This window comes from Homo sapiens, chromosome 16, assembly GCF_000001405.40.
Source record: "Homo sapiens chromosome 16, GRCh38.p14 Primary Assembly".
In the NCBI taxonomy this organism is placed as follows: domain Eukaryota; kingdom Metazoa; phylum Chordata; class Mammalia; order Primates; family Hominidae; genus Homo; species Homo sapiens.
This window is the reverse complement of record NC_000016.10, coordinates 11,366,106-11,390,961: the sequence shown is the minus strand read 5'-3', so window position 1 is coordinate 11,390,961 and position 24,856 is coordinate 11,366,106. Positions and strand designations below refer to the sequence as shown.

Genomic DNA, 24,856 nt, shown 5'->3' with positions numbered 1-24,856 from the left:
AGGGCCAGTGCCCAGGGTACTCTCCCAGTCCCAGCGCTTTCACACAGGATGCATTTAGCTGTCCCAGCTGTCACCAGAGCAGCTCCTGGGAGACTCAGCACCCAGGGTTTTTATTGGGGGCTGCCACACTGGCAGGTGCTGCTTGGCACGGACCACACTGTCAGACTCCTAGGAAGCAAGCAGGGGTCCGGCATAAACCACGTTTGTACAAACAGTTCAGATGCAGGGAGCCTCATATCAATTCTAGGACTGGTGGGAACCCTCCCCCAATCCAAGTTCCCAGACAACCTTATAAGCAGGCCTTGCAGAGACGGCTCAGGCCTGCTGTGACAACTCCCCTGCAATCTCCAGTGCCACTGCTCTGTTCCAGTTCCCCCAGCTCCCCACATCTTAATCCCAGGAACAGGCCCTATCTCCTCGAGGCCTGGCGTGTCTGGGCAGGGCTGGTTCTCTGACCTGCCCTGAGGTCTCATGGTGGGTGGTGGCTGCCTGTTGCAGGGCCCCTGGCCACACTGAAGGATGCCTACCTGGAGGTGACACTGCGGCCCCTGGAGGAGGTGTGGCGGGAGCGAGCAGAGGAGGCCATGCGGCGGCTGCAGGCCTGGGTGCCCGGGATGCCAGGCAAAGGGGGTCCAAGGCCCATCAGGGCGGCCCTGGGGGCCATGAAAGGAGCCCTGGAGCTGGTGAGTGAGCAAGGATGGGGCGTAGTTGGCAGGTGAGGATGACTGAGCCAGCTCTCACTGTCCCCTCCCTCTCCAGGCCGCCCAACAGATGCTGTCTTGGGCTGAGGCCACGTTCTCACGGGCACTGAAGAGGCTCTGCAAACCACTGCTGGACCTGTACAGCCTGTCGGCCAGGTAACTCGGGGTTTGAGAGTAGCGCATCCTGCGTGCCTGCCACATACCAGGTGCAGTGCTGAATGCTTTGACACCTTCCGACACACTGACTCCTGTGACCACCCTGCCCAGGGGCTTCTTCTCTCCTCGTTTTACAGATGAGGAAGCTGGGCTTTCTTCCTCACTCCATAGATACCTCGTGAGCACTGGCCGAGGGTAGGCAGGATTTCAGGAGCTGCAGAGAGCGCAGTGGCTGAGGCTGACCCTGCCTTCAGGAAGCTCACTTTTACTCAGACACGAAGCACAAGGAAGTCATCTACACCGGGGCTGGTACAGCTCGCTGCAGAGGGCCTGAGAGTCGCATCTTAAGCAGGCCATTCGGCTCTGTCACATTTCCTTGCTTTTGTTTTGTAATCTTTTTTTTTTTTTTTTTTTTTTTTGAGATGGAGTTTTGCTCTTGTTGCCCAGGCTAGAGTACAGTGGTGCAATCTTGGCTCACTGAAACCTTCACTTCCTGAGTTCAAGTCATTCTCCTGCCTCAGCCTCCCTAGTAGCTGGGACTACAGGTGCGCGTGCCATCCCACCCAGCTAATTTTTTGTATTTTTAGTAGAGACAGGGTTCTGCCATGTTGGCCAGGCTGGTCTCAAACTCCTGACCTTAGGTGATCCACCTGCCTTGGCCTCCCAAAGTGTTGGGATTAGAGGCATGAGCCACTGCACCTGGCCTGTTTTGTAATAATCTTTTTAACACACAAAAACCCTTCTTACTTGCAGGCCGTGCAGAAGCTGGCCACAGGCTGGGGCCCACTGGTCACCATTTACCACCCCTGAGCTATACGTTAGGTAGCAAATGCTAGAGAAGGAACATCGGTGAGATGGGGGGGTGGATCCTATGAAACGGTGTGGCCATGACTGGCTTTGAGGAGAAGGTAGAGTTTCAGCAAGAGCCACGGGGCCAGCGTGGTAAGAGCGCTCCAGGTGGGGGTCACTACTGCACAAAGGCCTGGGAGAGGGATGTGCCTGGCCTGTTTGTTTTTGAGATGGAGTCTTGTTCTTTGTTGCCCAGGCTGGAGTACAATGCTGTGATCTCAGCTCACTGCAACCTCTGCCTCCCAAGTTCAAGGGATTCTCCTGCCTTAGCCTCTCAAGTAGCTGGGATTACAAGCATGTGCCACCAAGCCCAGCGAATTTTTGTATTTTTAGTAGAGACGGGGTTTCACCATATTAGCCAGGCTGGTCTCAGACTCCTGAGCTCAAGCAACTTGGCCTCTCAAAGTGCTGGGATTATAGGCATGAGCCACCAAGCCCAGCCCTGTCTATTTGAATATCAAGCCAGCAGGGCTGGAGCAGAATGCCTGCAAGGGAGAGTGGATGTGACTGGGAGTTCCTAAGACTGGGGAGGCGGGTAGGTGGGGCTCAGCTGGTCTCTGGCTTCTGCTCTGACCTAGGAAGGATGTGATCGCCCTTTCACTTTAAAAGACCCTTTTGGCCCCTGTGTTGAGAACACGGGGGTGGTGGATAGAAGGGGGGAGCCCAGTTTAGAGCAGAGACCTGGGGACCCAGTATCCTCCCCCTCACAGGCACGAGGCCCACCAGGAACCGGGCTCCAAGCAGGGAGGCAGCTCCTTCTTCCATGCTGGTGGCCTCACAGAGCATCTGGAATCCGGCTCTGCCTCTAACTAGGATTCCTCTGCCTCAGTGCTCTGTGCCTCAGTTTCCCCAGCCATAAAATAGGGACTAAACCCACATCATGGGGAAAAGACTCCCTGTGATACAAGTTCCTGCTCCTGCCTTCCTGCGGTCAGAATGGAGGCTGATGAAGGGAAGAGCTCCCAGGGCGGGGTTTGGCTTGGCTGAAGAATGACCTGCCTGGTTACTCACCTACCTGGTGAGTGGGATCCTGTCACTGCTAGGTGGGGGTGCCAAAACATGGATTCAGGTGGCAGAGAGGGAGTTGAGGCTGCTTCCTGCCTCCAGCTGCAGGGCCTCTGGGTTCCTAGAAGTAAGCAAGTGAGGCCACCTGCCCCTGCTCCCTCTCTACTGGCCCATCAACAACAGGGTATGAGATGTTTGTCTTCCCACTATACCCCCATGTGAGCTGACATCCCCCTGATCATTCAAATCTCACAGGCTTGACTCCTACTCTAGATCCTGAGAAAGTTCCAGTCCTCCCCTAAACTGTAGAAATTTTCTAGACCTGTTGGCCAGGCACAGTGGCTCACACCTGTAATCCCAGCACTTTGGGAGGCCGAGGTGGGCAGATCAGTTGAAGTCAGGAGTTTGAGACTAGCCTGGCCAATGTGGTGAAACTCCAACTCTACTAAAAATACAAAAATTAGCCGGGTGTTGCGGTGGGCGCTGGTAGTCCCAGCTACTTGGGAGGCTGAGGCAGGAGAAACAAACCCGGGAGGCAGAGGTTGCAGTGAGTTGAGATTGTGCCACTACACTCCAGCCTGGGCGACAGAATGAGATTCTTAAAAAACAAAATTTCCTAGACCTTCCAGCTCCTGTCCTCGGCATCCCCACACATAAGCCCATGCTGCCCAAGACCCGGGGAGCAGAGTAGGCATGACATCGGACATCTGTGTCCTCAAAATGGGGCAGCTTGTTTCTGTCCCCAGCCATCATCTACCACCTCCGTTGTCATGCCGGCCTCTGTCCTCCTCCACCTCATGATGGGATTTCCCAAAACAAGGACAGCCCCTCCCTGAAAGGCACCCTCATGCTCTCCACTGCAGAGCTCTTCCTGCAGACCTAGAAGCTCCCCTCTGCAGCCAAGGGAAGCAAGGCTCGGGCAGGCACAGTGACTTGTCCTCTGCATTCCCTGCAGGAACCGCTCAGTGGTGGTGATGCTGCCACTGTTGCCTGCGGGGGACGAGCCCCTGGACGTGGCCCGGGTGACCAGCTACCTCATGGAGGAGAAGCTGCTGCGGCCGCTCCGAGAGCTGTCTGGGGCCAACGTGCTGGCTGAGTACTACTGGCTCAGACGCCGCCTGCTGGCGGGCCCCTGGGAATGTGAGTCCTGCCCCGGGCTGTGCCGCCCTCCTCCCTGAGAGCCCCCTGCCTCCTGGGCACAGGGAAGCCTCCATAGGCTAGTAGCATCACAGTGCCAGGCCCAGAGCTTACTGGACTTCCCAAGGTCCTATGGGACTAGGGCTGAGGGTACACATCCTGCTTTTGTCCAGAATATAAGTCTTGGCCCTGCAGAGGGGTGAGGAGGGTGGTTTAGGGCTTCAGGCCAGCTCCCTCCCTGCGGGCACTGCTGGAGAAGACGGCAGCCCTCCAGATCCAGCTGGAAGAGAACTGACTGACTTCAGACTCGCCGGTCAGAGGCGACCTGTAGCCAAGGGCTGGGGAGCTTGCTTGTGGCTCAGGCTTGCTGTGTGGCCAGGCAAGTCAAGTCTAACCTCTGTGGGACTCGGTTTCCTCCACCATGAAATGCTGTGTGGCCAGGTGAGTCTAACCTGTGGGACTCTATTTGCTCCACCGTGAAATGTAGGTAACAACGTGGCTCGCTCATATGGGTAATGGGCATGTACTGTTCTTGATGCAGGGGGAGCCCCTCATGTCTATGGGGGAACCCCGGTACCCAGGCTTGGCAAGGAGTGCTTTATGTGTGTGGGACTCACACCCAGGCCCAGGGCTCCCTAGAAGCGTGGGCGCAGTCATGTCTAAGCAGCACATTGGTGTTGTAGAAAACAGCCTGGTCTTCAAGTTCCATGTGTGTGACCGTGGGCTTCTCTGTGCCTCTCAGTTCTGACAGCTGCCCACGGGGCTGGTACTGCCTCCCTCAGGATGCTGGGACTGGCCGACAGGTGCCTGGCTGTGCACCATAGATGGTGCTTCCTGGCCACGGGCAAGGGCACCCCCACCCCCAAGCCACAGCTCAGGGGCCGCACTGGCTAGACTGGTCAGACCTCCTTCTCAGGCCATCTGTTCCCTACCCTGAAGAGGGTAGGTCTGCAGGACACCAGTCTTGTGTTTGAGGGACCTGTTGGCTATCCACTTACATAGTGAATGTTTCCCCCCATCCCCGCCAGCAGCTTCATTGAGATTAAATGGATGACTTGTATGTGTGACATTTTTTTTTGAGACTAGGTCTCACTCTGTTGTCCTGGCTGGAGTGCAGTGGCGCCATCTCAGCTCACCATAGCTTTGACCTTCTGGGCTCAAGTGATCCTCCTGCCTCAGTCCCCCAAAGTGCTGGGATGGCTTTTAGCGCCGCCGTGCCTGGCCGATGTGTGAATTTTAAGTGTACGATTCAGTGGCTTCTAATTTATTCAGAGTTGTGCCTGCATCACCACAGTCGATTTTAAAACATTTTCATCACCCCAAACTGAAACCCTGCAGCCACCAATCTGCCTTCTGTCCATGGCTGTGCCTGCTCTGGACATTTTATGTAAACAGAAGCATAGACCCTGTGGCATTTGAGCCAGGCTTTTTTACTTAGCACAGTATTTTTGTAGCAGGTCTCAGGACTCCTTTCCTTGTTAGGGCTGAATTGCCAGTAGACCTTCAGCTCATGTCATCTTGAAGCCGGTGGGGGATCCCTGGGCCTCTGGCTGCTGCGCCAGGGGAGGGGGAATCCAGGCCTCAGGGCAGGCTAAGCCAAAGCTCTAGGCATCCGGGGCACCCAGCAGGCATTGGGCTCCTACTGCGGTGGGTGGAGCTGGCCCCGCTCACCCTGCCTTTGGGCTGCTTCTACCCAGACCATGCCCTGGTGGCTGGGGCCCAGCACGTGGTGACCTTCGACGGCCGGGTATGGGACCTCAGCACCCAGTGCGGCAGCATCCTCCTGGCCCAGGACTTTGCTCACAACACATTCTCGCTGACGCTGAGTCGGACAGGCTCGGGGCTCACAGCCCTGTTCGTGGAACTTAACCACAAGACCCTCATCCTCTACCCCAGTCTGCAGGTGAGCAGGAGAGGCATGGCAGCCTGTAGGACTGAGCCTCCCCTGGAGACCTGTGCCCATGGCAGGTCGCCTGGGGGGATGGCACTTTCAAGCTTGTCACCTGGCTGTGGGTCAGACCTCCTGCCCAGCCCCCTCTGGCCCACAGGCCTACAGGCTGTACAACTCCTCCCTGCCGGGGGACAGTTGTCCGGACCTCAAGCTGCATCCTGCCACGACAAGGAAGGACGTCTCCAGGATTGAGCTGGCCAGCGAGGACGGGGTGTCTGTCTCCTGTGACGTGCCCACCGGCCTCTGCAGCCTGACTCTGGGCCTCTGGCAGCACGGTGGGTCTGGGCCCCAGGAGGGTTGGCCCCACCTACAGCGGACTCTTTGGGATGCACCCCTTTAAGCTTCCAGGGCGGCAGGGGGCTACCGTGCATGCAGAGCCTCTGCCGGCCTCGTCTCTAGCATGGCAGCGCGTGTGCCCTCAACTCCTCATCTAGCCTCATGCCATTGACCCCATGTCCAGATGACCGCACAGAGGCCCAGGGCTTTCTGTCCCATCCGTGGGACACGCGGCTCCAGTGTGGAGTTGGCCCTTCTGTCGTCCCTCTGCCAAGGAACACAAAGGAAGGGCCTGGATTCCAGCCACTTGAGCTGAGGACATGGGGAGGGGACGGGGGATACACATGCTGTCCCTGAGCCCCTGTGCTTTCTCTTCCTCCTCTGATGAGGGTTTACAGCCAGGGCCTGGGCTCCAGGAGTCCGGGGTGGAGGTGGTGGGACTCTACTGCTCCTCTGTGTGCTTCAGGCTCATCTCACACACAGGTCCTGAGGCAGCAGGGCTGGGGCTGGGGGAGGATCACAGGGTCTTACGGCCGGCCTCCGCTTCCCTCTTCCCCACAGGCATATCCGCTGGCCTTCTGGGCACCAATGACAATGAAGCAGGCAATGAGCTGATGTTGCCGGATGGCTCTATGGCCCGCAGCCTGGAGGAGCTCAGCCTGGCCTGGCAGGTGAGCGGGTGCACCTGCCTGTCCTGCTTCCAGCTGAGGTTCTTGAGGGCTGCTCACTGCAGAGTCCCGGGAGAGGCAGGCGGCCTGATGGCTCTGCAGAGGACTTCGTAGGCCCAGGGTTTGGGGGAAGTCTCCTGCTGAGGCCAGTGTACGCGGGGGAGCCACATGGTCCAGCAGGAGGCCTGAGTCTTGCATCCATCCTGCCAGGTGGGTGGTGACTGCAGGGCCACTGAGAAGCCTCAGCAGGAGCAGGCCTGCCCGGGACAGCTCCCCGCCTGCTGGGCCTTCTTCGAGGGCCCCCACTCCAGCTTGAGGGACTGCTTCCGGGTGGTGAGTGTGAGCCTGGCCCATGGGGTGCAGAAGGCCCTTTGTCTCATCAAGCTTAGGTCCCTCCTCAGGGTGTGGACAGTGACTCGGTGTCCCTGATTTCAGGTAGACCCTACACCATTCCTCAGCCTGTGTGTGCAGGTCCCCTGTGGCACCCAGGAGCTCCAGCCTGCCTGCAACCTGGCGGCCGCCTACATCCACCTGTGTGCCCGTGGATTCGTACCCCTGGCCCCTCCTCCACAGTGTGGTAAGCTGCCCCAGCCATCTAGCACTCTGCCCCGTCTGGCATCTGCCTTCCAGGCCAGAGGGAAAACCAGTCCCTTTCTCTCACCAGGGAGGACAAATAATTGTCATTCAAGGAGCTAAGAGTCACAACATTTATTAAGACTGCCTGTTTGGATGTGTGTCCCCTCGAGGCAGGTACATGCCTCATGGATGGCCTAGTGCCCTCCGTTTGGTGAAGAGTGAGTTCTTGCTCTATTAGTTCACATGAGAGCAGGTTGTTTAAAAAGAAGCTGGCAAGGCTGGGCACGGTGGCTCACGCCTGTAATCCCAGCACTTTGGGAGGCTGAGGTGGGTGCATCACGAGGTCAGGAGATCGAGACCATCCTGGCTAACACGGTGAAACCCCGTCTCTACTAAAAATACAAAAAAAATTAGCCGGGCATGGTTGCGGGCGCCTGTAGTCCCAGCTACTCAGGAGGCTGAGGCAGGAGAATGGCGTGAACCCAGGAGGCAGAGCTTGCAGTGAGCTGAGACTGCACCACTGCACTCTAGCCTGGGCAACAGAGTGAGACTCCGTCTCAAAAAAAAAAAAGACCCTGGCACCTCCTCTCTTTGTACTCTCTCCTCCTGCCATGATTGTAAGCTTCCTGAGGCCTCCCAGAAGCCAAGCAAATGCTGGAGGCGTGCTTGTACAGCCTGTAAAACTGTGAGCCAATTATCTCATTTATGAACTACCCAGCCTCAGGTGCTCCTTTATATCACTGTAAATGGATTCCCTACCCCCTACTAAGCTAAGTGTCCACAGAGCCACATTAAGTTGCCTCTTGAAAATTTGCCATTAGGTTTTTTCTTTTTTGGGACAGTCTCACTCTGTCACCCAGGCTGGAGTGCAGTGGCACAATCTCGGCTCACTGCAACTTCCACCTCCTGGGTTCAAGCAGTTCTCCTGCCTCAGCCTCCCAAAGTGCTGAAATGACAGGCGGGAGCCACCACGCCCAGCCTCATCAGGGATTTGAATGTACACCACTGTTTAGGGAAAATACTCAGCCCTGTTTTCTCTCTGCTCTCACACCACAATAATCATCAACACAGCAGATGACTTCTGTGACCAAATGTGTGTTGTTCCCACTACCAGGCTGTCCCTCTAATTCAGTTCTAACACCAGCTACCTGGAGACAGCATCAGATCCCATGTGGTGAGAGCTCCGTCATCCAGTGCTGCGTATGATTCCCACAGCCAAAGCCCCACTAAATGGGCATAGAAGTCAGTGGCAACAACAGGAGTAGGCTTCCAAGAGCTTCAGATGCCAGAATTAGTGGCTGCCATTCAGACATTTAAAACCTTAACAGCAGAAGAGAAAATTAATGAATTGGAAAATATGACAAAGGGAGGATGAAATAAGAGGATCCAACATGTCTAAAAGAAATGCCGGGTGTGGTGGCTTATGCCTGTAATCCCAGCACTTTGGGAGGCCAAGATGGGCAGATCACCTGAGGTCAGGAGTTTGAGACCAGCCTGGCCAACATGGCGAAACCCCTGTCTCTACCACAAATACAAAAATTAGCCGGGTGTGGTGGCGGGCTCCTGTAATCCCAGCAACTATGAAGGCTGAGGCAGGAGAATCGCTTGAACCCAGGAGGTTGCAGTGAGCCGAGATTGCGCCACTGCACTCCAGCCTGAACAACAGAGCAAGACTCCGTCTCAAAAAAAAAAAAATTCCAGAATGAAAACAGACACAGGACCCTTTAGAGTCAGCAGGCATGATCCCCAATACAATAAATCCATCCATACCAAGACCCATCAGAACTAAACTGCAGAAAAAACAAAGAAAAGGTCCTAAAAGCTAAGGAAGAGGGTGGAAAGAAGGAAGAACATGTTGATAACTGATCTCCCACCAGCAACAGCAGAAGACAGTGGAGTAAGAGAAAATAAGCATGAGGTTAGTGTGTGTACCCAGCTCAACTATTATTTAAGAATGAAAAAGCCTCTCAGCACTGATCTGTCTAGAGATATCTTTACCATGAATGACACTTACTCAAGGGATCCACCGACGTTCATTTACGTAGTCTATGGCTGCTTTCCTGCTACAGAGGCAGAGTATTTGCAAGAGAGATCTTATTTTTGCTGTCTGAAAGACTCTATTAAGAAGATGGAAAGATAAGCTACAGATTGGGAAAAATGTTTACAAACCATCTATCAGACCGAGGACTCATCTCTAGAGACTCATCTCTAGAATATATAAAGAACTCAAAGCTCAAAAGTAGGGCAGGTGTGGTGGCTCACACTTGTACTCCCAGCACTTTGGGAGGCTGAGGCGAGATTGCTTGAACCCAGGAGGTCAAGGCTGCAGTGAGCCATGATCACACTCCTGCCTGCGTGACAGACTGAGACCCTGTCTCACAAAACAAAAACTCAAAAGTAAACAATGGGAAATAAATGCATGAAAAATGTTTGCAATACCAGCTGCAGAGAAACAAGGTAGTGCCACACACCTGAGCTCCAGTGAGTTCCGGCACGGGGAGTGAGTTCCAAGGACTCAGCAGCATAAAGCATCGGTTGAACATCCAAATGGCCAGGCTGTGATTTCAGCGTCCAGTTACGAGTGCACTATAAAAAGCACCGTTCTAGTACCAAAAATGTGACTGGTGAGAATATAGGACAACTTCTTGCAGAGCCAGGCTTAAGGCAGGAATCAACTTCATGGTCTACCAGCCAGACCCTTGGGAGGCAGCCTTGGACTCGATGAGACAACTATGAAGTGCCAAGACAGGAGGTGCTGTGGCTCCACAGGAACCTCGGAGAATCTGTGTATCAAGCAGAAGTGCTCGTTGTTTTGAGTCCGCTACGTCAGCCATCAACAAAACATCTGGGAGGACAACAGAGAAGACTTACAGCCACAGTGTCACAATGGAATGGTATCTGCAGTTAAGGTCCTCTCCCTCCCTTAGGGTTTATTTTTTTAAATCAAGGGCTAAGTTATTCCCCTCTTGGACACCAGACAAGTATCTAAGAAAAGCAGTCACCCGTTATAATTAACTTTTGAAGGACAAATTAAAAGGTGGTTATAAGTTACAAAATAAAGGCATATTATGAATTCTCATAGGAAATTAAGACACTTATTATTCTTATTTTTTTTTGAGACAGGGTCTCTGCTCTGTCCTTCAGGCTGGAGTGCAGTGGTGCAGCCTCCCGAGTAGCTGGGATTACAGGCATGCGCCACCACCCCCGGCGAATTTTTGTATTTTTAGTAGAGACGAGGTTTCACCATGTTAGCCAGGCTGGTCTCGAACTCCTGACTTCGTGATCTGCCCGCCTTGTGTCCGGCCAGAGAAATTAAGACATTCTCAGATAAACAAAAGCTGAGAGAGTTCATTATGCAAGAAATGCTAAAGGGAGTCCTTCAAGTCAAAAAAAAAAAAAGATGCTAGGTGGAAGTTTGAGGCCACATATAAAGACCTGTATTGTAATTTTCATTCATCTCTGTAATTATTTTATTGGATTTAAAAGATGTATAACTATACATCTACGTTAAACATATAATTTGTGAAAAAAAGTAGGCATGGTGGTGGCATGCACTTGTAGTCTCAGCTACTCCGAAGGATCACTTGAGTCCAGGGGCTTGAGGTTACATTGAGCTGTGATAATGCCACTGCACTCCAGCCTGGGTGACAGAGTGAGACCCTGTCTCTAAAAATAGATATACTTTGTGATATCAACAACATAGGAGGGGGACAGAGCTGTCAAAGAGTGGGGTATTTGTATGTGATTGAACTTACCAGTTTAAAATGGATTGCTCTAACTTCAGGATGTTTCGTGTAATCCCCATGGTAATGACAACATATCTACAGAACGTACACAAAAGCAAATGAGATCCTAAGTGTGTCACAATAAAAACATCAATTAAACACAAAGGGACGAAATGACAGAGAAAGCAAACCATAAGCCATGCAGAAAACAATCAACAGCGTGGCACCAGGAAGTCCTTCCCCATCGGGAAGTCCCGTCAGTAATGTGCTGGAGTCTCCCCACAGCAACTGGTCACCGCAGTCCTTGGCTGTGGGCCTCATGACACAGTCACCAGGTTAGTCAGTTGCATCAGAATGATAATCTTTAAAAATACAAATGAATTCCACCATCAGAAGACTGAGAGACTTACACAGGTTGAAAGTGAAAGGATGAAATAAGATAGAGAAGGAGTAGCTATACTAATATCAGACAAAATCGACCTAAGGTCAAAAGCTGTTATAAGAGATAATGATAACAGTCAATTCACCAAAAAGATGTAACAGTTATAAATGTACATGCAACACACCTCAGAGCTCCTAAATATATTAAGCAAACACTGTAGAATGAAAGGAGAAACAGATAGGTCTACGATAATGGTAGGAGACTTCACCTCACTTTTTTTATTTTTTTGAGATGGAATCTCACTCTGTTGCCCAGGCTGGAGTGCAGTGGCATGATAACGGCTCACTGCAACCTCCACCTCCTGGGTTCAAGTGATTCTTAGGCCTCAGAGTAGCTGGGATTACAGGCGTATGCCACCACGACCAGCTATTTTCAGTAGAGACAGGGTTTCACCATGTTGTCCAGGCTGCTCTTGAACTCCTGACCTCAGGTGATCCACCCATCTTGGCCTCCTAAAGTGCTGGGGTTACAGGCCTGAGCCACTGCACCCGGCCCAATACCTCACTTTCAATAATGGATACAACACCCAGACAGAAGATCAAGAAGGAAACAAAGTACTTGAACAATACTATAGACCAGTTGGACCTACCACACAGACAACTTCACCCAACAGCAGAATACACATTCTTCAAAAGTACACGTGGAATGTTCTCCAGGAAAGATTGTATGTTAGGCTTCAAAGCAAGATTTAATACATTTGAAATGACTGAAATCATACTAGAAGGAAAACTGAAATATCCACAAATATGTGGGAACTAAACAACATACTACAAAACCAGTGGATCAAAGAAAGAAAATAAGGAAAAATCAGAAAGTATCTTGAGACCAAACATATGAAATCTTATGGGATGCAGCAAAAGCAGTGCTATGAGGGAAATTTGTAGCTGTACACACTTAAATTAAAAAAGAAGCTGGCTGGGTGCAGTGGCTCCACCTGTAATCCCAGCACTTTGGGAGGCCGAGGTGGGCAAATCATCTGAGGTCAGGAGTTTGAGCCCAGCTTGGCAAACATGGCAAAACCCCAGCTCTACTAAAATTATAAAATTTAGCCAGGCGTGGTGGCAGGCGCCTGTAATCCCAGTTACTTGGGAGGCTGAGGCAGGAGAATCACTTGAACCCGGGAGGCAGAGGTTGCAGTAAGCTGAGATTGTGCCACTGCACTCCAGCCTGGGCGACACAGCTAGACTCCACCTCCCCCCTCCCCCCGGCAAAAAAAAAAAAAAAGAAAAAAAAAGCAGCAGCCAGGCACAGTGACACTGTTCTATAATCCTAGCTACTTGGAAGGCCGAGGCCAGGAGACTGCTTGAGCCCAGGAGTTTGAGACTAGCTTGGGCAACGTGGCAAGTCTCTCAAAGAAAAAGGAAAAGCTCTCAAACCAACAACCTAACCTTCTACCTTAAGTTATTAGAAAAAGAACAGCCTAAACCCAAAGATAGGAGAAGGAATGAAATAATAAAGTTTAGAGCAGAAATAAATGAAATAGAAGATGGAAAAAACAGACCTGTAACTACCAAGGAGATTGAATCAGAGACCAAAAACTTGGCAGGAAAGAAAAGCAGAAGATCAGATGCCTTCACTGGTGAATCACCAAACATTTGAAGAATCAATACCAATCCTGCTCATATTCTTCCAAAACATTGAGGAAAGAATACCTCCAAACTCACTCTGTGAGGCCAGCATTACTGATACCAAAGGCAGACAAAGCACCAGAGGAAAATAGACCAATGTTCCTGATAAATACAGATGCAAAAGTTCTCAACAAAATACTAATAAGGAGAATTTGACAGCATCATAAAAAGGATTACACACCATGATCAAGTGAGATTTATTCCTGGAATGCAAAGATGGTTACCATATAAAAATCAATGTAAGATATCACATTAACAGAATGAACGAAAGAAAACACATGACTATTTCAGTTAGTGAAGAAAAAGCATTTAACAAAGTTTAATACCCTTTCGTGATTAAAAACATACAGACTCAAAATAGAAATGACCTCAACATAATAAAGGTCATATGAACCACCCTCAGCTAACATCACACTCAATGATGAAGACAAAGTTTTCCAAGATGAGGAATTAAACAATGATGCCTGCTTTCATAATGCTGGAAATCCTAGCTAGAGCTATTAAGAAAGAAAAGGCATCCAAATTGGAACGGAGGCAGTAAAATTATCTGTTAACAGATGACATGATCATCTTTGTCGAAAATCCTGAACACTGCATGAAATAAAAAACAACTGTTAGAACTAATAATTTGTCAAAGTTTCAGGATTACAAAATCAACATACAAAAGTCAGTTGCATTTCTACATGCTAACAGTCAAGAATCCAAGAAGGAAATTAAGAAAACAATTCCTGCCGGGCATGGTTGTGCACGCCTATAGTCTCAGCTACTTGGGAGGCTGAGGCAGGAGGATCACTTGAGCCTCAGAGGTCAAGGCTGTCAGTTTTGACGATGATTATGCCTGTGAATAGCCACTGTACTCCAGCCTGGGCAACACAGTGAGACATCATCTTTAAAAAAAAAAAAAAAGTCCATTTACAATAGCATCAAAAAGAATAAAATAGGAATAAACTTAACCAGGAGGCAAAGATTTTGGCAGGATGTAGAGTCCCAGAGACCGGTTATACAACAAATGTAAAGGCATCTCATATTTATGGATTGTAAGAATATCATTAAGATGTCAATACTACTCAAAGTGATCTACAGGTTTAGCGTAATTGCTATCAAAATCCCAGTGGCATTTTTTCTTCACTTATAGAAAAATCCATCCTAAAGTTGATACACAATTTCAAGGGACTCCAAATGGCCAAAACAATCTTGAAAACAAAGAACAAATTTGGACGTCTTATACTTCCCAATTTCAAAATTTGTTGAAAGCTACAGTGGTCAAAAGTGTGGTACTGGCGTAAAGACATACATACAGACCAGTGGAATGAAATACAGAGTCTAGAAAGAAACTCTTACACATGTGGTCAAATGATTTCAATAAGGATGCCAAGACTATTGAATTGGGGAAAGGACAGTCTTTCAACAAATGGTGTTGGGAAAACTAGATATCCACATGCAAAAGAATGAAGTTAACCTCTTACCTTATAACATGTTGGGAAAAAAAAAAAAGAAAACCTCAATAATGGATTAAAGACCTAACTGTAAGAGCTAAAACTATACAACTCTTAAAACACAGTAGGAGAGCTTCCTTTGTCAATGATTTCTTAGATATGGCGCATATGACACCAAAGGCACAAGCAACAAAAGGAGAAACAGACAAACTGGATCGCATTGAAGGATACTATTAACAGAGTGAAAAGGCGTCCTACAGAATGGGAGTAAAGATGTGCAAATTATATCTGATAAGGAGTTCCCATCTAGAATACATAAAGCACTCTCACAATGTAACAACAAAAACCCAACCCGGTTCAACAATGTACAAAGGGCCCGGCGCGGTGGCTCACACCTGTGATTCCAGCACTTTGGGAGCCCGAGGCAGGTGGATCACCTGAGGTCAGGCGTTCGAGACCAGCCTCAACATGTTCTCCATGGGGTTTCTCACCCCGTCTCTACTAAAAATACAAAATTAGCTGGGCATGGTGGTGCATGCGTGTAATCCCAGCTACTTGGGAGGCTGAGGCAGGAGAATTGCTTGAACCTGGGAGGCAGAGGTTGCGGTGAGCCGAGATTGCACCATTGCACTCCAGCCTGGGCAACAAGAGCGAACTCCATCTCAAAAAAAAAAAAAAATGTACAAAGGACTTGAATAGACATTTCTCCAAATAAGATATGCAAATGGCCAATAAGCACATAAAAAGATGCTCAACATCACTAATTATTAGGGGAACTCAAACCAAAACCACATGGAGAGGCCAGGCACAGTGGCTCACGCCTGTAATCCCAGCACTTTGGGAAGCCAAGGTGGGCGGATCACTTGAGGTCAGGAGTTCGAGACCAGCCTGGCCAACATGGTGACACCACGTCTCTACTAAAAATAAAAAATTAGCCAGGAGTGGTGGTGTATGCCTGTAGTCCCAGCTGCTCAAGAGGCTGAGGCAGGAGAATTGCTTGAACACGGGAGGCAGAGGTTGCAGTGAGCTGAGGTCCCGCCACTGCACTCCAGCCTCGGTGACAGAGCAAGACTCTGTCTCCAAAAAAAAAAAAAAAAAGTACATGGAGGTGCCACTTCAGACCCATTAGGATGGCTGTAATTAATACAGAAAATAACAAGTGTTAGGACATTGAGTTGTTTGAACCCTTGTGTATTCTTACGGGGAGTATAAAATGGTGCTGCAGCTATGGAAGACAATATGGCAATTCATCAAAGAGTTAATAGGTCAGGTGCAGTGGCTCACACCTGTAATCCCAGCACTATGGGAAGCTGGGGTGGGCGAATCACTTGAGGCCAGGAGTTCAAGACCAGCCTGGCCAACATGGTGAAACCCCATCTCTACTACAGTACAAAAATTAGCTGGGTGTGGTGGTGCAGGCCTGTAATCCCAGCTATTTGGGAGGCTGAGGCATGAGGATCACTTGAACCCGGGAGGCGGAGGTTGCAGTGAGCTAAGATCGCACCACCGCATTCCAGCCTGGGTGACAGAGCCAGACTCTGTCTCAAAACAAAGAGTTACCATACAATCCAGCAATTCTACTTCTGGGTATGGATCCCCTAAAATTCAAAGGGTCTCACACATTTATACACCGATGTTCATAGCAGCATTATTCACAACGGCCAGAAGACAGCAGCAACCCAAGTGTCCACTGACAGATAAATGTGGTCTCTCCATACAATCAATCATGATTCAGCCTTAAAAACGAAGGAAATTCTGACACACGCTACCACATGGATGACCCTTGAGGACATTATACAAAGTGAAATAAGCCAGTCACAAAAACACAAGTACTGTATGAGTCCACTTATTTGAAGGACCTCGAGTAATAAGTTTCATAGAGACAGAAAGTACAGTGGTGGCTGCCGGGAGCTGGGAGAGAGCAGTAATGGGTTATTTAATGGGGATAAAGTTTCAGTTTGGCAGTATTTACTGAGTTCCAGAGATTGGTTGCACAAAAGTGTGCATGTACTTACACTGAATTGTGTACTTTAAAATGGTTATGGTAAATGTTACTTGTGTTTAACTACATTTAAAATTTTTTACACTAGAAATGTATATTGAGCATCTCTGTGCTAGGCATGGTGATACGATGATAAACATTTTACCTATGAACACCATAGTTATAAAACCAAACACTCTTAAGGAGATAAAATTCTAAGAGTAAAAGCTAGCACAGACAGGCAATAGACACAGACCCACAGGACTCAGATAGTAGGCTTATTAGACACAGATTATAGATTTCAGCAGGGAACTAGAAATTATTAAAATTACTAATTACTAAATTTGTAGTTTAGTAATTAATTTAGCAAATCAGCTAATTTACTAATGACTGAAAATTATATATCTGAAAAAGAACCAGAATGTAGTAGAAAGAGATGGCAGAAAAGGCCACCTAAACCCCATATTTTCAACACTTCTCTTACCAGATGAGGGCTAGAAGGGTGCTTCCCGGCCAGGCAAGGTCACTCATGCCTGTAATGCCAGCACTTTGGGAGGCCGAGGCGGGCAGATCACCTGAGGTCAGGAGTTTGAGACCAGCATGACCAACATGGTGAAGCCCTGTCTCTACTAAAAATATAAAAATTAGCCGGGCATAGTGGCATGTACCTGTAATCCCAGCTACTTGGGAGGCTGAGGCAAGAGAATCACTTGAACCCGGGAGGTAGAGGTTGCAGTGAACTGAGGTCGCACCACTGCACTCCAGCCTGGGCGACAGAGCAAGACTCCATCTCAAAAAATATAAATAGCTGGGCATGGTGGCTTGCTCCTGTAACCCCAGCACTTTGGGAGGCCAAGGCAGGTGGATCACTTGAGGTCAAAAGTTCGAGACCAGCCTGGCCCAACCCCGTCTCTACTAAAAATATAAAAATTAGCCGGGCGTGGTGGCAGGCGCATGTAATCCCAGCTACTCAGGAGGCTGACGCAGGAGAATCGCTTGAACCCAGGAGGCAGAGGTTGCCGTGAGCCACTGTACTCCAGCCTGGGTGATAGCGCGAGACTCCATCTCAGAAAAGTTAAAACCCATCTTTTAAACAGTTCTCGTAGCAGATGAGGGATAGAAGGGCACTTCCTTTGCCTGGTAGCTCTGAGTGTCCATCTGTGCCCTTGTCCACCCCACTTGATGGTGAAACAGCAGAGCAGTCCCTCTAGGGCCAGGAGCCCCACATCATGGCCTCCACTGCATGCTGTACTGAAGATCTCACCCACACAGTGAGCTCCCTTTAGCCCACACTTTGGGTTGGATGCATCCTGAGCTCTCAAAGCATCGTGTGCTAAGGTTCCGCCCTCCCCTTGGCTAGGAACTATGTCTTGGTCTTCTCTGTGTCGAGGGTGCTGGCAGCAGAACCTGACACAGAGTGAGCACTCCACAGATGCTTGTTCAATTTCCAAGGAACTCAGCAGGCTGGGCCTAGCACCGCTGCCTGCAAAGGCCCTGCAGCTGTAGGGGACTCATTGACCCATGCCCGCTGCTCTTACAAAAAGGCGGGAGGGAGATGAGTGGGAGTGGATGGGGAGTTGTCCTTTTAATAATGAAGGCCAGGGGCCCTAGCATAATTTATTTCAGGAAACAGCAGGGGCCCCTCTCCTCAGGGGCCCATAGCCTGGTCTTACTTTTCTCTCTCCTTTACAGTTTGAGATTTTGTCTATGCCAGCACTAGGCTGCCAGACTTCAAACTCCTTCACCTTCTACTGCAATTCCAGCTCCCTGACAATGACAAGATTCATGGCTGGGACAGAATAACCAGCATGGAATGCCGGGAAACTCAGAACCGCACGTGCTGCAAACGCACGGAAGCAGGGCTCATTGCCACTGGGCTCAAAATACTTCCGGGGGACATGAAACTCTCCCACTGGTCTGAGTAATTCTCCCCCTTCCTCCACACTTCCACTGCAAACCAGGAGACAGTGCGGCCAGCAAGTACCAGCTCTGCAGAGAAAACTCCACCTGGCCCCTGTTCATGCCCAAGAGATTTATTCACTTATTCAACAGCCATTTGGGAAGCCACTGCTTCAGAACGCTGACTGCGTGGTGGGGGACACGAAGCCAGGTCCTCAGCTGCTTGGTACTGGCTTTCCCTGCCTGATCCAGGGGTCTTTTCAGGCAGGAGTTTCCTTGAAGGGAAGTGATGGCCCCAAGCCTCTTAATCAGAAGCCCAGGTAGGCAGCTTCTCTCTTTGGGGTAGACACACTGGGACTGAATGCTTCAGGGGACCCTGGGGAGGGCCTCTGTTTTGGTAGGGGCACCTGTGAACTCAGGCCTCCAGGCTACATCATTGGAAGTGTTTTACTTTCTTTTGGGAATGTAACTTTTTCCTTTGAGTTTTCAACTGAAAAATAAAGCTGGCAGAATCCAAGAACATGTCTCTAGATTGCTGGGGTTGATCATCCACTCAAGAGAGGGGGAGGCGTGGGCAGCTATGGAATCTGCTCACCGATAGGGGGTGCCCTCGAGCCCTCTCTGCACTGAGCCTGGTAGGAGCTTGTAGGGCCCAGATTCCAGAGCAAAGGGCAAGGCATCAGCCACGGGGACTGAGGCAAGCTGAAGGCCAGACTTGACCGTCCTTGACCTCCGCCCCACCATCCCCCCCATGAATCCCTGGTGCATAGCAGGTGCTAGATGAAGTTCAGAAGAAAGAACTCCAGGGTGAATGGGAACAAGAAGGTTGGTCCTCCACACCCCCACACTGGAGGGAAGACAGAAGGGAGAGTGGCTGTGATTTGAGTGCTTTGCTGTGGTTACAGCCTAAAGACCCTGGAGACCAGGCACTGCTCCAAGTGCCTTGAAAGATGTTTGATCTGGGGGCTGGGTGCAGTGGCTCACGCCTGTAATCCCAGCACTTTGGGAGGCCGAGGCGGGTGGATCATGAGGTCAGGAATTCAAGACCAGCCTGGCCAACACGGTGAAACCTCATCTCTACTGGAAAAAAAAAAAAAAAAAAAAAAAATCCGGGCATGGTGGCTGGCGCCTGTAATCCCAGCTACCCAGGAGGCTGAGGCAGAGAACTGCTTGAACCCAGGAGGCGGAGACTGCAGTGAGCCAAGATCACACCACTGCACTCCAGCCTGGCGACAGAGTGAGACTCCGTCTCAAAAAAAAAAAAAAAAAGTTTGGGTCGGGCACAGTGGGTCACGCCTGTAATCCCAGCACTTTGGGAGGCCAAGGTGGGTGGATCATGAGGTCAGCAAATCGAGACCATCTTGGCTAACACGGTGAAACCCCGTCTCTACTAAACATACAAAAAATTAGCCGAGTGAGGTGGCGGGCTCCTGTAGTCCCAGCTACTTGGGAGGTTGGGGCAGGAGAATGGCGTGAACACGGGAGGTGGAGCTTGCAGTGAGCGGAGATCGTGCCACTGCACTGTAGCCTGGGCGACAGAGCGAAGGCTCCATCTCAAAAAAAAAAAAAAAAAAAAAGTTTGATCTTAGGCCTTACAATAGTCCAATGAGGAACGGATGATCCCCACTTAATGAGAGAAGAAACAAAGGCTCAGAGAGTTGAGGGGATTTCCCCAAGGTCATACAAGCTACAAACAGCCAGGATGGCACTGACGCGGGCCTGCCTGCCTCCCAAGGCTGCCCAAGCTCACTCAACCCCCACTTCTGCTTTTGCAATAAAAGAAAAGCAAATCACTGGTGCTCAGGGGCCCATGAGCAATTCAGAGTCAGATGCAACTAGAGTGTGCAGCCACCTGACCTGTTGGTTTCTCAATATGCTTAACGGATCCATGATTTCTGGTCCAGAAAGGAAACGCAGAAGCTTTCCTTCCTGCCTCCCACATTCTATGGGTCAAGTATTTACCAAAAACACAGCAGTGGACTGGACACCAGCAGAGATACAAAGAGGGAAACATAGTTCTCCCTTCTCAAGGCAGGTTGGACAACATCAATACTTTCCAACTGGGGGGTGTGGGTGGAGTACTTATGCATGAATTTGAAACAGATAGGAGAGGGAATGATTCCAGCGGAAAGACCAATTCACGTCTACAATATACACTGAACTCCAGCCTGGACAACATAGCAAGACTCTGTCTCTAAAAAAATTTAATCATTAGCCAGGCATGGTGGCACATGCCTGTCTAGGAGGCTGAGGCAGGAGGATCACTTGAGCCCAGGAGTTCAAAATCACAATCAACTATGATCACACCACTGCACTCCAGCCTGGGCATCAGAGCAAGGCCCTATCTCCAAAACAAAACAAGGTAAGATGTTTACATACAAATCAAGGTAAGAAAATCCAAAATAAAATATTACCAAACAAACCCCACTGGGGCCTTAAAAAAAAAGTGACCTAAACCAAGTGAGAATTGTACAGTGTGACAAGGATAGCTCAAAATTAGAACATCTTTTAATTTCAAATATATATATATATATATATATATATATATATATACACACATATTTTTTTTTTTTTTTTTTTTTTCCTGAGATGGAGTCTCGCTCTATTGCCCAGGCTGGAGTGCAGTGGTGCGATCTAGGCTCACTGCAAGCTCCGCTTCCTGGGTTCACTCAGTTCTCCTGCCTCACCCTCCCGGGACTACAGGCGTCCGCCACCACACCTGACTAGCTTTTTTGTATTTTTAGAAGAGATGGGGTTTCACCATGTTAGCCAGGATGGTCTTGACCTCCTGACCTTGTGATCTGCCTGCCTCAGCCTCCCAAAGTGCTGGGATTACAGGTGTGAGCCACTGCGCCCAGCCTAATTTCATTCATATTAATATGTTAAAAATCATAATCATCGTAGATGTTGAAAAGGCATTTGACAAAATTTACTACAAAATTTAGAAAAAAACACATCAAATTAGAAAGAGGGATACTTCCTTAAATTACACACGATAAAGGAAATTACACCCAGACACACACCCATCAAGCCAGAGCCCAGCATCATTTATAGGGGATGGAAGCAACAGAAGCTTCCATTAACCTTCGCAACAAAAGAATGCCCTCTGTTACCACTATTATTTTGGAGGCCCTAGCTGATGAAACTAGGCAAGGAGGAAAGTAAGACATTTAAGAAAAAAGCAGGAGGTAAAATAATTTACTCTGAAAAATGAGGCAGACAGATTTTGCTAAGGAGTTAGGTACAAAAGTAACATAATAAGCAGCCTTCCTTTTTCTTAATTTTTAAAATATAGAGATGGGGCCGGGCACAGCTCACGCCTGTAATCCCAGCACTTTGGGAGGCCGAGAGAGGCGGATTGCTCGAGGCCAGGAGTTCGGTACCAGCCTGGCCAACATGGCAAAACTCCACCTCTACTAATAATACAAAAATTAGCTGGGTGTGATGGCACACACCTGTAATACCGGGTACTCAGAAGGCTGAGGCATGAGAATTGCTTGAACCCAGGACATGGAGGTTGCAGTGAACCGGGACTGCATTACTGCACTTAGCCTGGGTGACAAAGAAAGACCCTGTCTCAAAAAAAAAATAACATAAAGATGCGGTCTTACTATGATGCCCAGGCTGGTCTCAAACTCCTGGGCTCGAGCAGTCCTTCTGCCTCAGTCTCCCTAAGTGCTAGGATTATAGATGTGAGCCACCAAGGCTGGCCTCAGTCCTCCTATGTACAAACAAGCAGTTAGAAAAGTTAACAGAAGAAAACATCCCATTTGCAACAGCACACTCCCAAAAAACAAAATTCTCAGAAATAAATGTGCAAAAATATACACACACAATCCATATGAAGAAATCTTTCAAATGCTGCTGAGGGATATGAAACACTTTGAATGCAAAGAAGGCCATGCTGCATGTGTTATCGAGAAACGTTCAACATTAAAAAGATGTCACATCAATATCAAGAGGGGGTGTGTGGAAATGGAGGCTCCACACATGCTGGGGGGAACGTGGCGGCATGGCAACTCCAAAACACAGTTTGGCGGTTTCTTAAAAGGTGAATATAAATCTACCTTATGGGGCTGGACACAGTGGCTCACGCCTGTAATCCCAGCACTTTGGTAGGCCAAGGCAGGTGGATAACCTGAGGTCAGGAGTTCGAGACGAGCCTAGCCAACATGGTGAAACCCCATCTCTACTAAAAGTCCAAAAAAAATTAGCTGGGTGTCACAGGTAGTGGGCACCTGTAATCCCAGCTACTCGGGAGGCTGAGGCAGGAGAATCACTTGAACCCAGGAGGCAGAGGTTGCAGTGAGCCAAGATCGTGCCACTGCACTGCAGCCTGGGCGACAGAGCAAGACTCCATCTGAAACAAACAAAAATTAGCCAGGCATGGTCACACACACCTGTAATCCCAGCTACTCAAGAGGCTGAGCCAGGAGAATAGCTTGAACCTGGGAGGCAGAGGTTGCAGTGAGCCAAGATCATGCCACTGCACTCCAGCCTGGGCAACAGACGGAGACTGTCTCCTAGATAGATAGATAGACAGAGATAAAAAATAAAGTGTCAAAATCAGTGGCTTTTGGTATACTTACATAACGGTGCATCCATCACCACAATTCAATTGATTTTAGAACATTTTCATTTCCCCAACAAGGAACCCTGTTATCCTTAGTCATCCCCCCTCCCAGTTCTTCCTTCCTCCCCAGCACCAGGTGACCAGTAATCTGCTCCCTCTCTCTCTCTGGATTTTCTCATTCTGGACATTTCACATAAATGGAATCATACAATACGTGGCCCTTTGTGATTGGCTGCTTGGACTTGGCATAAAGTTCGAGGCTCACCCATGTGTGGACATTTCACATAAATGGAATCATACAATACGTGGCCCTTTGTGACTGGCTGCTTGGACTTGGCATAAAGTTCGAGGCTCACCCATGTGTGGCCCATGTCTGTGCTTCATTCCTTTTTACTGCCTTATTGCCCAAGTGGTGTCATAAGCACCGTAGGTGCACTGTGAAAAGTTAGGGTGTGTGTTGTAATCCCTAGAACAATCGCTAAAGAAAACATATATAGCTAAAAACATAGAGCAAAAAGATATAGCCAGAAGTCAACAGAGATAAAAGGAAATGTGAAGAATCACTCCATTAATCCAAAAGAAGGCAAGAAAGGAGGAACAAGAGACAAAGAGAAATAGGTGGGTGCGCTGGCTCCCTATGAAAAATACAAAAAAAAAAAAAAAAATTAGCTGGGCGCACTGGCGTGCACCTGTGATCCCAGCTACTCGGGAGGCTAAGGCAGGAGAATCGCTTGAACCCAGGGCGGGGGGAGGGGTGCGGAGGATGCAGTGAGCCACTGCACACAGATCATGCCACTGCACACTCCAGCCTGGGCAACAAAGCAAGACTGTGTCTAAAAGAAAAACAACAACAAAAAACACAAACAGCATACATTAGAAATTCCATTGGGCTGGGCACAGTGGCTCACGCCTGTAATCCCAGCACTCTGGGAGGCCGAGGCGGGCGGATCACGAGGTCAGGAGATAGAGAACATCCTGGCTAATACGGTGAAACCCCATCTACTAAAAAATACAAAAAATTAGCCAGGCATGCTGGCAGGCGCCTGTAGTCCTGGCTACTTGGGAAATTGAGGCAGGAGAATGGCGTGAGCCCGGGAGGCAGAGCTTGCAGTGAGCCGAGATTGCGCCACTGCACTCCAGCCTGGGCGACAGAGCGAGACTCCGTCTCTAAAAAAAAAAAAAAAAAAAAAAACAGAGAGAAGTTCCATTGAACGAAAGTAAGTGAAATAAACACTCCAAGTGAAAGTGAGATAGTGAGACTAAATTTAAAAAAACACAAACAAAAACATGACTCACCTACATAATGTGTAGAAGAGGCACACTGTACATAGAAAAGCAGGTAAGATGAAAACACAGGATGAAAAAAGATATCTATGTAAACATTAATTATAAAACTCTATTAACATCAGATAAACAGATAATATGTCGGCTTCCTACTTTTTTGATGGAACAATTAAAAATGCAGAAAATGGGGTTGGTACAGTGGCTCACCACTTTGGGAGGCCAAGGTGGGCAGATCACTTGAGCTCAGGAGCTTGAGACCATCCTGGACAACATAGTGAGACCTCATCTCTATCAATAACAACTGCCACCTGAGAAAATGGCATTTTTCATGAGGAACATCAAATACTGTGCTGTCCTTTCCCTAACTTCTGGTTAAGTCTTTCCTAAAACCAAGGCCCAGCTTTGGGACTCCTGCAGTTCCATTAGGTGTCAACAAGTCCCTTTTGCCAAAAATTAGGAAAAACAACCGAAAGTCCATCCACCAATGAGTGGATAAACCAAATGTGGTCTATCCATATGATGGAATATTATGTCATAAAAAGGAATCAGTCATAATAAGGGATGAAGTA

The 24,856-nt window shown here is 49.1% G+C and overlaps 1 protein-coding gene, 1 long non-coding RNA gene and 1 pseudogene across 11 annotated transcripts in view, besides 8 other annotated features; 2 read left to right on the top strand and 1 right to left on the bottom strand.

Annotated features, from left to right (window-relative positions):
- The window catches only part of LOC400499 (putative uncharacterized protein), a 155,563-nt gene extending 136,616 nt beyond the window's left edge, over window positions 1–18,947 (top strand). For 2 of the 4 annotated variants that reach the window (NM_001395505.1, NM_001370704.1), the window contains 9 exons: window positions 499–683; window positions 760–857; window positions 3,667–3,851; window positions 5,546–5,751; window positions 5,897–6,074; window positions 6,637–6,746; window positions 6,954–7,076; window positions 7,179–7,320; window positions 18,224–18,947. In NM_001395505.1, the coding sequence (NP_001382434.1) occupies window positions 499–683; window positions 760–857; window positions 3,667–3,851; window positions 5,546–5,751; window positions 5,897–6,074; window positions 6,637–6,746; window positions 6,954–7,076; window positions 7,179–7,320; window positions 18,224–18,228 (1,232 nt within the window). In that variant the 3' untranslated portion in view covers window positions 18,229–18,947. Of the gene's footprint in view, window positions 1–498; window positions 684–759; window positions 858–3,666; window positions 3,852–5,545; window positions 5,752–5,896; window positions 6,075–6,636; window positions 6,747–6,953; window positions 7,077–7,178; window positions 7,321–8,433; window positions 8,526–18,223 lie in introns of those variants that run through there. The other 2 variants (XM_017023946.1, XM_047434105.1) reach the window with 2 other exon arrangements.
- The window catches only part of LOC105371082 (uncharacterized), a 146,190-nt gene that overhangs the window by 4,829 nt on the left and 116,505 nt on the right, over window positions 1–24,856 (bottom strand). For 3 of the 7 annotated variants that reach the window (XR_933070.4, XR_933073.3, XR_933072.3), the window contains 2 exons: window positions 11,075–11,140; window positions 7,437–10,164 (listed from right to left, as the gene is read on the bottom strand). This is a non-coding gene — a long non-coding RNA (uncharacterized LOC105371082). Of the gene's footprint in view, window positions 1–7,436; window positions 10,165–11,074; window positions 11,754–24,856 lie in introns of those variants that run through there. The other 4 variants (XR_933075.3, XR_933074.3, XR_933071.3 and 1 more) reach the window with 3 other exon arrangements.
- Window positions 341–1,095: an enhancer, noted in NCBI's record as "H3K4me1 hESC enhancer chr16:11483724-11484478 (GRCh37/hg19 assembly coordinates)". NCBI's record gives its function as "activates a minimal SCP1, AML or CMV promoter by ChIP-STARR-seq in naive and primed H9 embryonic stem cells {active_cell/tissue: H9 hESC(naive and primed)}" and the evidence as "EXISTENCE:reporter gene assay evidence [ECO:0000049][PMID:30033119]".
- Window positions 3,133–4,015: an enhancer, noted in NCBI's record as "H3K4me1 hESC enhancer chr16:11480804-11481686 (GRCh37/hg19 assembly coordinates)". NCBI's record gives its function as "activates a minimal SCP1, AML or CMV promoter by ChIP-STARR-seq in naive H9 embryonic stem cells {active_cell/tissue: H9 hESC(naive)}" and the evidence as "EXISTENCE:reporter gene assay evidence [ECO:0000049][PMID:30033119]".
- Window positions 3,133–4,100: a biological region, named in NCBI's record as "H3K4me1 hESC enhancer GRCh37_chr16:11480804-11481686".
- Window positions 3,511–3,600: an enhancer, noted in NCBI's record as "active region_10443". NCBI's record gives its function as "activates an Ori minimal core promoter by ATAC-STARR-seq in GM12878 lymphoblastoid cells {active_cell/tissue: GM12878}" and the evidence as "EXISTENCE:reporter gene assay evidence [ECO:0000049][PMID:35858748]".
- Window positions 3,791–4,100: an enhancer, noted in NCBI's record as "active region_10442". NCBI's record gives its function as "activates an Ori minimal core promoter by ATAC-STARR-seq in GM12878 lymphoblastoid cells {active_cell/tissue: GM12878}" and the evidence as "EXISTENCE:reporter gene assay evidence [ECO:0000049][PMID:35858748]".
- On the top strand, window positions 9,601–10,103 carry LOC100420951 (mitochondrial ribosomal protein L18 pseudogene; annotated as a pseudogene).
- Window positions 11,270–11,589: an enhancer, noted in NCBI's record as "active region_10441". NCBI's record gives its function as "activates an Ori minimal core promoter by ATAC-STARR-seq in GM12878 lymphoblastoid cells {active_cell/tissue: GM12878}" and the evidence as "EXISTENCE:reporter gene assay evidence [ECO:0000049][PMID:35858748]".
- Window positions 19,737–20,237: an enhancer, noted in NCBI's record as "H3K4me1 hESC enhancer chr16:11464582-11465082 (GRCh37/hg19 assembly coordinates)". NCBI's record gives its function as "activates a minimal SCP1, AML or CMV promoter by ChIP-STARR-seq in primed H9 embryonic stem cells {active_cell/tissue: H9 hESC(primed)}" and the evidence as "EXISTENCE:reporter gene assay evidence [ECO:0000049][PMID:30033119]".
- Window positions 20,423–20,482: an enhancer, noted in NCBI's record as "active region_10440". NCBI's record gives its function as "activates an Ori minimal core promoter by ATAC-STARR-seq in GM12878 lymphoblastoid cells {active_cell/tissue: GM12878}" and the evidence as "EXISTENCE:reporter gene assay evidence [ECO:0000049][PMID:35858748]".